Source organism: Homo sapiens, chromosome 1, assembly GCF_000001405.40.
Source record: "Homo sapiens chromosome 1, GRCh38.p14 Primary Assembly".
Classification (NCBI taxonomy): domain Eukaryota; kingdom Metazoa; phylum Chordata; class Mammalia; order Primates; family Hominidae; genus Homo; species Homo sapiens.
Window position 1 is genome coordinate 59966974 of NC_000001.11, and position 10247 is coordinate 59977220.

General features: G+C 47.6%; 1 protein-coding gene and 1 pseudogene across 1 annotated transcript in view; both read right to left on the reverse strand.

Moving 5' to 3' along the window:
* The window catches only part of CYP2J2 (cytochrome P450 family 2 subfamily J member 2), a 75905-nt gene extending 73666 nt beyond the window's left edge, over positions 1 to 2239 (reverse strand). The window contains exons 1-2 of the mRNA XM_047447499.1: positions 1440 to 2239; positions 964 to 1111 (exon numbers count right to left, since the gene is read on the reverse strand). The gene's annotated coding sequence lies outside the window, so the exon portion shown is untranslated. The remainder of the gene's footprint in view (positions 1 to 963; positions 1112 to 1439) is intronic.
* RN7SL475P (RNA, 7SL, cytoplasmic 475, pseudogene) lies at positions 7784 to 8081 on the reverse strand (annotated as a pseudogene).

Sequence of the window (10247 nt, forward strand, 5' to 3'; positions counted from 1 at the left end):
TTCAGGCAAAACTACTCCTCAAACAAATCATTTTACTTTTACAATGTATATCCAACCTTCTCTGTTTTTCTCCCCTGAAATATGACCTTGGCCTCCATCTCTGAACCAGCCAGCCTTTGAGCAGATGTAGTTTTATGGTTTAGGCTGAGAACTCCAGACACAAAAGCTTACACGAGTTTTAAGAATGAGCTGAGATAACCACTAAAGAAAGCTCTTGCTCGAGGAGCCACAAAGCCAGGAACAAATCTCCAGGCCATGTAATCACAAGGGGTTTATGCAAACCTCTTAAAAGAGGTTTACACAAATATACATCCAATTTCCTCTTTGGAAAGGCTGTTCCTTTCCAATGAGTCAGTGTTTAACAGAGCTTGGCAAAGCATGAGCCTGTCGGCTGGAAGAAGATGGGGTTTTAAAACTCGACCTATTCTTTGAAGGAGAAAATAACCCTTAAGCTGCATTAACATGGCCTACCACAAGCAGCAGGGACAGGGATTCTGTTATCAAGGCGTGCTGTGGGCTGTGTTTCCTTTCCAGACTGCTGGGGCCTCTGCTTGCCTGCACCTGCCTTGTTATCTGCCTTCTGCAGACCAGACTTGCCTTTGTGTGTGTCGTCTTTCTGAGCATATATCCCTGAGCAAGGCTGGGCTTTCTAGGCTCTAATTTTGAATGAGATGGAAAACACACTCAGCAAAGCCTCTGCCTCCTGTGTCTCAGTTATGGGAGCGCAGCTCATTTCATGTCCCTATCTCATGAGAAGAAATAGGCTGCACTGGGTATGGACGTGGGAGGATTACACTGTAACATGCTATTTGTAAGTACTGAAATACTGGCCTTTTAAATAAAATTGTTTTATTTATATTTCCTTAAATCTGAAATCAGAATCATTTGTGTTTTAAGATCAAGATCAAAGACTCAACTTTTTCACTATATATAAACAGACAAACAGCTGCACGGTCTACCAACCTGGCCAGGTGTGTGAGTCTCACATTTTTCCAGTAAGTCCCCAGCTTTGTGATATCACAAAGCTTCTATTGCAAGAATTCTCTGTTCTTCCAGACAAGAGGAAGGTAAACTGAAAGTGACGCAGGTAATTGTGCACGGGGATCTCCAGCTGTGGATGATACCATTAAAGGAGACAGAGATAAATCTGAATTGGCTTATTTGAAACCATTCTATAGCTCTCATGAAAAGGTTGGTACTGCCTGACTCTTTCCTTTCCCAGAAAAGTTTCTTTAAAACAGATCTTCAAAGCACCCAAACAAGAGATGAGATTATTTGATTGGAGTCAGATGAAAATATTTGGACTTATTTTATGGCACTGACTTTCCCACATTATTCCCTTTTCCTCTCTCTAGTCGCTCTCCTCAAACCCTTGCTTTTTCTGTCTTGCCTCCCCAACAGCCCACCATTCCCCTCTTGGTCCCAATCTTCCCACACACCTAAGTACCTGGACCCTCATGGCTGAGGCCTGCTGTCAGGACGCTTGGAGGGCCTGGAGTCCCACCGAGAAGAGATGAGGCGGTGGGCACACAGCCTGAACAGGGCAGCTAATTGCTGGCTCATACTCCAGAAGATTTCTCCCTCCAGGGAGTTCCTTGCAGAGTATGGGGCATCCCAGTTCCGTTAATCACCATTGGCTGCAGAGCATGAGAAGTTTGTGTGGCTCCACGGACAGTGACACCAGAGGATGGAGCTGTGGGAGGGGTGGACATGTGTAAAAGGCCCGAGGGGGGACCAACCAGCACATGCAGGTCACTGAGACAGCAATTCTGTGCCAGCTTTGTGATGAGCATGTGCCTCTCCGAGCTGCTCCAACCAAGGTTCATGATGTGTCTCGAATTGGTGGGTTCTTGGTCTCATTGACTTCAAGAATGAAGCCGCGGACCCTCGCGGTGAGTGTTATAGCTCTTAAGGTGGCGCACCTGGAGTTTGTTCCTTCTGATGTTCGGATATGTTCGGGGTTTCTTCCTTCTGGTGGGTTATGTGGTCTCGCTGGCTCAGGAGTGAAGCTGCAGACTTTCGCCGTGAGTGTTAACAGCTCTTAAGGCAGTGCGTCTGGAGTTGTTCGTTCCTCCTGGTGGGCTCGTGGTCTTGCTGGCTTCAGGAGTGAAGCTGCAGACCTTCGCGGTGTTACAGCTCATAAAGGCAGTGTGGACCCAAAGAGTTAGCAGCAGGAAGATTTATTGCAAACAGAGAAAGAACAAAACTTCCACAGTATGAAAGGGGATCCGAGCGGGTTGCCACTGCTGGCCTGGGCAGCCTGCTTTTATTCTCTTATCTGGCCCCCACCCACATCCTGCTAATTGGTAGAGCGGAGTGGTCTGTTTTGACAGGGCGCTGATTGGTGCGTTTACAATCCCTGAGCTAGACACAAAGGTTCTCCACCTCCCCACCAGATTAGCTAGATACAGAGTGTGGACACAAAGGTTCTCCAAGGCCCTACCAGAGTAGCTAGATACAGAGTGTGGATTGGTGCATTCACAAACCCTGAGCTAGACACAGGGTGCTGATTGGTGTGTTTACAAACCTTGAGCTAGATACAGAGTGCGGATTGGTGTATTTACAATCCCTGAGCTAGACATAAAGGTTCTTCACCTCCCCACCAGACTCAGGAGCCCAGCTGGCTTCACCCAGTGGATCCGCACCGGGGCTGCAGGTGGAGCTGCCTGCCAGTTCCGTGCCGTGCGCCCAGCACTCCTCAGCCCTTGGGTGGTCGATGGGACTGGGCGCCGTGGAGCAGGGGGCGGCGCTTATCGGGGAGGCTCGGGCCGCACAGGAGCCCACGGAACAGGGGGAGGCTCAGGCATGGCGGGCTGCAGGTCCCGAGCCGTGCCTCGCAGGAAGGCAGCTAAGACCCGGTGAGAAATCGAGCACAACGCCGGTGGGCTGGCACTGCTGGGGGACCCAGTACACCCTCCGCAGCCGCTGGCCCGGGTGCTAAGCCCCTCACTGCCCGGGGCGGGCAGGGCCGGCCGGCTGCTCCAAGTGCGGGGCCCACCAAGCCCACGCCCACCCGGAACTCCAGCTGGCCCGCAAGCGCCGCGCGCAGGCCCGGTTCCGGCTCGCGCCTCTCTCTCCACACCTCCCTGCAAGCTGAGGGAGTTGGCTCTGGCCTTGGCCAGCCCAGAAAGGGGATCCCACAGTGCAGTGGTGGGCTGAAGGGCTCCTCAAGTGCCGCCAAAGTGGGAGCCCAGGCAGAGGAGGCGCCAAGAGTGAACGAGGGCTGTGAGGACTGCCAGCACGCTGTCACCTCTCAATGATACGCTTATGAAATTTTGAAACCATTGAAGAATTTTAATCTGGGAAAGCTGTTATTATATAACCCTGCATATGAGGGATAAGACAGTGTAATTTCTGAGTCTGATTCCTGCATGTAAACTCCTTTGATTGTAAAGATACTAAATGAAGGCAATAAAAAAAAAACCTCCATGTTTTTCTTCATTTTTGGCTTGTTGAAGACCGCCCTGTTACCATGAAGGAAGAAAACCATGGCGTCAATGCTACATCAGATATTTGATGATAGTTCTAGTTCTATGTTTTCCTAGCACTTTGGGAGGCCGAGGCGAGTGATCACTTGAAGTCAGGAGTTCAAGACCAGCCTGGCCAACATGGCGAAACCCCGTCTCTACTAAAAAATACAAAAATTAGCTGGGCCTGGTGGCAGGCACCTGTAATCCCAGCTACTTGGGAGGCTGAGGCAGGAGAATCATTTGAACCTGGGAGGTGGAGGTTGCACTCCAGCCTGGGAGACAGAGCAAGTCTCTGTCTAAAACAAACAAACAAACAAACAAACAAAAACAAAACAAAACAAAAAACAGTGCAGTAGACCTGTGGCCCAGTCTGGCAGCAGTCTGCTAGATGGCTGAAATTGATTTGGTGACCATCTGATGTTAGAGCTCATTGAATATTCACTGAATATTACAACTGAATGGAGGACCTCTGACACTACCTTGCCCAGGAGGTGAAACGACTTGCCCAATGACCCCCAGAAAGTTATTGGTAGAGAAAGAAGCCACTCATTTGCATAAGGCAGGAGGATGGGGCCAGTGGTGGGTATTTCAGTAACCCCGAGCGCCAACTCAAGTTGCTATCTAACCTCATGTTGTTCCCAGTAATCCCCCACTACTGCCTCGGGTGTTCTCTTCCTGCTCATCATACCCCTTCCTGCCATCCCCCCCAAGAGCCTATGGGGCAGCTGTGCCAAACGGGATCACTCTACTTTTGATGCTTGGGCCCCGATATGTTCAAATATGCCTTCTCCTTATATTCTTAGCATAGCTGAAGGAACGCTGGTGGGGAGGTGGATAATGAGGTTTAATTAAAAGCATGGGAGGTGAGGACACCCTTGCCTCTTTCCTGACTGACTTTAGAAATAGCAGTCCTCTGGGAAGTCACCCATCTCACACTAACCTGGCGAGACTGACATTCAATCCAGACACAAACTAACGGCAGCTACGGGGGTGGATTGGGCGGGCATTTTTAATAATTATGATTTTCACGCAGATAATCAGCCACTTTCTCTCTTCCTCCCTCTTCCCACGCTGATCCTGAGCTCCTTGACCGCAGATTTCCTTCGCCTTCCACTAGAGGGCGCTGGAGCCCATGTTACCGCGCTCTCGGCTGGGAGGCGGCGTCCAGGGACAGAAGGAAAAACGATGGGGTGTGTGCCGGATGAAGGCACCAGCCCTGACAGCTCCAGGCCCAGGTCCTCCGTGTGCGCCCCGAAATGCAGTGACTCCTAGGGCTGGAAGGAAAGACATAAAGCCCACCTGGGCATCATCTCTGAGAGAGACACTGGCCAGCGTGGAGGGTGCCCTGCGGGGAGTGGCTGTGTGAGAACCAGGCTGCATGAGCCCTGCTCAGGGACTCAGGACCCTTTTCCTGGGGAAAAGAGGATTCGAGGGCTATGGGAGCCCGCCCTGCTTTTCTGAAGGGCTTTGGTTTGGAAGAGGAAACAGGCTTATTTTATTATATGTGGCTCTAGCAGCAGAACTAGACTTATATATAATATTTATATATATATTCGATTCGATAATTTGAATAAAGATCTCAGCATTGTGCCTAGCATTTTTTTGAGAGCTCAATTTAAAAAATATCATACTAGCTAACCTTGAACTCTGCTTCTGTGAAAGGTGCTGTGCCATCTCCCATTCATTATCTCTAAGCCCCCGAACAGTCCTGAGGTAAGTGTTCCTCCTCTTATTTCACAAATGAGGCAAGTAGGGTTGAGAGAGGGTGAGAGTTTTGCCCAAGGTCTTAAGGCTGTGCAGTTGCGCGGCTGAAATCCTAAGCCAGGTCTGTTTGCCTTCAGAGCTGCACCTCTGCCAGGACACCATGCTGCCTGCCTGTGTCAATGCGGGGTCTTCACCCAGAGGCCCCCTGGGTCTGGTGAGCTGTTGGCGGGTTTATCTATCACACACAATGACGCAGGGGCACATATGTTGTTCTGGCAAAGGCACGGCACATTTTCCAATGTCGGTGGAAGCAGTGGATGAATAATACAGGGAAAGGGATCAACAGAAGGGGCAAGAGGAGGCCAGAGCGGCATCAATTCCCCTGCCCCCAACAGGGGCAGCAGAAGGTGCAGCTGGCGGGGGCCCTGGAGTGGAGCTGCCAGCCCAATCATCTTGCCGCTGGATTTTGCACAGCTTTCCTTCTCCATTCTTTCTCGTTTTTGACACTTGTGATTATTACCAATCCTGGTGGCGCTGACGCACGGGAGTGCAATGGTTACCATGGCATGCTTAATAGCGAGAGCAGATGTTTGGCAGGCTAACTCCATGCATTCTAAATACACAAGGCGAAAGTCGGTGGAGGGCGTAATTGATTTGCTGACTGCAGTGGGAAGCCAGCCCATGCTTGCACTGGGCCAGGGCGCCTTACCACATACTCTCTTTAACATGGCACACAGTCTCATCATGAGCTGACCCCGTGTAGGCCCCTGGCCTCACATGTTATCAGTTCCCACCTGCTCTCTCCTCTTCCACTGTGCTTAACACCTGCAGCCCTCACAAACAAGGGATGTATGGTCTGACTCCAGTCTGAGCCTTCCCACAAGCTGTTCCCTCTACTTAGTACCCCGTGTCCTTCATTGTGTGGACAACACCCACATGTCCCTCAGTTCTCGGCTTGGACATCACTCTGTAACATGTCTCTGTTAACTCTGAGTTAGAAGGACCACTCTGTGCCTAACCTTTCATAGAACTTACTGCTGTGCTGTAATTGCTTGTTTAGTTGTTTATCTTCCCAACAGAGTGCAAGTTTCTTGAGTTCAGGAACCATGATATTTACAAGGATAATCTTGACTTTAATTTACATGGAAAATTACATAAAATCAGACTTCCATTCTTTACCCTTAGTGTCACATTTCTTGCAAAACACTTCATAGCTGGTCTTCCCTCCAAACAGGATTATTATGATCTGTATACAAAGTACACTTTTCTACCCCTGAGCCTCTGTTTGTGGCATTGCCCCATCTAGAAACCTGCTCTTCTTCCCTCATTCAGGTCTACCTTTTCAAATCCGGTTCATCTATCAAGATACCTGTCAACTGCCAAATAATCGTATTTGATATACCCTTCCCCAAGCATATGAGGTCACTTCTCAACCATAAACTGCCTCCTTAACACCCCCACTCCCACTGCACACTTGCCCCCACAGCATGCTATTTGCATCTCTTTCAGGACCCCTGACTTTGCAAGATGCAGCCACTTCCTGGTTATGTGTAACTTTGTCCAAGTTAAATGACCCCTCTCAGCTTCAGTTCTTCCTTTAGTGAAATGGGGATAATCACACCTCCTCCATGGGGTGACTATGTGGATTAACTGAGCTACTGAAGAAAAAACATGTAGCTCAGTGCATGGAACACAGTAAGAACCTATTAAATAGTTGCTATGATTAAGTCACTATTTATATATTTGCCCAGTGTTGCCCATGAGATGTCCCTCCTTGGGTTGGATGCCATAATACCTCTATATCCAGCAGCATGACCCAAGTGCCTGGCTCCTATTGTATCCAACTGAGCAGGTGGAGGAAACTTACTTCACCCTGTTGTGCTCATTTCCTTGTCTGTAAATTGGGGATACTAGATAACTGGGAGCATTAAGTATTGAAGTACCTTTTAAATGATAACGCTCCAAAACAAGTTGAGCTGACTTAAAAGGACTAGTTTAAGAGGAAACACACAGAGAAGAAGTATATCCAATTTCCACTTCACTTTAAAGATTCTGGAGCTGAGGCTAGTTGGCCAGTGATTATTGCCTCGGAAACAAAAGTGAATTTGTATACACCTTACCCAAGAGTTCCAAACCAAGAAAAGAAAGGGGCAGAGAAGGGAGAAAAGTGTGTGTGCATGTGTGTGTGTGAGTGTCTCTCTCTCTCTCTCTCTCTGTATGTAATTTTGGGGTGGGAAGGGAAAAAAAGACATTTTGACTTTGACATTATTTTCCAAGAGTCACAACTAAGAGTAAATAAACCATCAGTTTTGTCATTGTGACCAAGATATCAAGTTACTAAAGAGGAGTGAAAAAATGGACATCGGATGGTTTAATGTAAGGTATTGACAAGAGTGAACATTTGTGAAGGTCACAGAGCTGAAACCCACCTGGTTGGAGATGGTTAGATTGAGGAGTCCCTATCATTTTAGTTATACTTACGTATTTGTAGCCTTTCCTTGTGTCTTGATGAAAATCCCCAAATTTTTGAAAACTCTGTTTAAAAAGAAATAACTATGGCTTGTATTTCTCAAATTATGAAGTACATTTCTTTTCTTTTTTGTTTTTTGAGAGATTGGATTTCACTATGTTGCCAGGCTGCAGTGCAGTGGCTATCCACAGGCACAATCCCACTACTGATCAGCACTGGGGTTTTGGCCTGCTTTGTTTCCAAACTGCACCAGTTCACCCCTCCTTAGGCAATCTAGTAATCCCTGGTTTCTAGAAGGTCATCACATTGATGCTGAACTTAGTGGGGGCACCCTATGAGCATAGCTTACTGCAGCCTGAAACTCCCGGACTCAAGCAATCCTTCAGTCTCATCCTCCAGAATAGCTGGTACTACAGGCATGTGCCACAATGCCTGGCTAATTTTTTTTTGTTGTTGTTTTAGAAATGGGGATCTTGCAATGTGATCCAGGCTGGTCTCCAACTCCTGGCCTTAAGTGATCCTCCCATCTCAGCCTCCCGAGTAGCTGGGACTACAGGCACATGCCACCATATGTAAAAGTGAATTCCTTATATCACATTTTCAGCAGTTATAATTTGCACCTCTTTTGGGAATTTGCAGGGAAAAAATAACCCCTACCACCAACCTCACGCTCCCTTGATGCTCATGTCTGTGAACCTCAGATATTTTCTAGCTGGTGTGGGCTGGAGCCAGCTGCTTCCCACTCCCTCCCTTCAGTTACAGCTATGTGGAGCTGTGAATGAAGCCTCTTGGCGACTGCTCCTTCATACTTAAGGACTTCCCTGCACCCAGCATGGGCAGCAGCTTCACACGGCTCTGTGGTGTGGAGAGCTGCATTCTACATACAGATTTGTCAGTAATTTGTGACACTGGGACATCTCATCTCACTTCTGGTCCTTGGGCTTCTCATCTGGAGAGTGTCAGAGTTGGACTCCATTGTTTCCTGTCTATTCATGTAATTTTTCGTCTTTAGTCTGCTGATATGGTGAATTACATTGATTGGCTTTAGGATGTTGAATCAACCTTGCATTTCCAGGAGAGGCCCCACTTGGTATTATGTATCTTACGAATTGTTGGATTTGATTTGCTGGTATTGTGTGAAGGATTTGGGGTCTATATTCACGAGGGCTGTTGGTGTGTAGATTTCTTCACATTGTCTTTGGTTTTGGTATCTGGATAAAACATGATTTGGGCTGTGCTCCTTCTTCCTCTTCTATATTCTGGAAGGGTTTGTGTGGAATTGATGTTATTTCTTCCTTAAATATTGGTAGAATTTGCCAGTACATTGCATCCCTTTGAAGGTTTTTCACGTTCTAGGCAGCCCTGGATGACCCAGAGTCCTTCTTGATGACTGCGGGTCTTTATTGGGTAAGGGTTGGAGGGGTGTCCCACCTCAGACCCTTTAGAAGCTCCCTGTGAATAGGGGAATAGAGGATCCCTTTTTCTCCGAACCACACATGAAACACTCCTCCTCTCTGATTATTTCTAGTGTTATCTCTCCAATCTGCAGGTCACCGTTTTCCCAGTGTGACTTTGAGTCCCTAGGAGACATTGAGGTATGGTGAACTTTGGAGTCAGCAAGAGCCAAACCAAAATCCTTGGCCCTAGCATCTATCAGTTGTTTGGCTTTGGGCCACATTCTTGAACCTTTAAGAGCCTCAGTTCCTGCATTATTACTGGGCATGATGAATTTTAGCTCACAAGGCTGTCGTAAAGATGAAATGAGATAATACTCGTAAAACGTCTGGTGTGGTAGGTTTTGAATGAATGCTGGCCTTCTTTCTGAGGAAATAGAGACAGTCCACTTTACTCAAGCTGTCGCGCTCATCTCAGTCAAAAGCCTGTTCGCCCACTTCTGAATCTGGGATAGAGTTTTCTGGAGGGAGTCACATATGCAAAGACAGAATTTATTTATTTATTTATTTTTGCCATCTGTTCAAGAAGACGAATGAGTTTACCTTGAAAACAGCCACATTACAAAGTGATTGGTGGATGGGAATAATTTGTTATAACGCTCCAATTCCGCAGCTTCTTTGCAGGTGGAGAGGATGCCCTCCTCAGTTCCTGGGGCTCCAGAGCGTCGCTTCCTACTGGGAACTGGAGAACAGGCAGCTCTTCCCATTCTAACTAGAGCCTAGAAAGATGGTTCCTTTTGATTGCAAAAAAAAAAGTCATGAGTCAGCTGCTTAGGAAAATGCTTCGCTGATGATATTAGTACATAGAAGCAATTTCATCTGTCTGGGAAGCGCATTTTCAGGAGGCAAGATTGGCAGAGCAGAAAGGACGGGAGTAACGAAGCCGGCACAGGGGCTGAACGTGCTGTTTCAGTTCTGGGCAGCAGAGGGCGATGTTGCCTCCTAATACTAAAATAGGATTTGGCAGGAAGGTGAGCGTGGCAGAATTTGGGAGAAGAAACTTGCCTTCTTACTAGCCATTGTAGAGTTCCACAATTTACTTTAAAAATGCCTTGGTTGGCTTTTTGGCTTTAGTAGGAAGAACAAGGACAAAGGATGGTTAGTTACAATAACAGCTAATACTCTGCATGAAACTTCGTACGAGCCTGG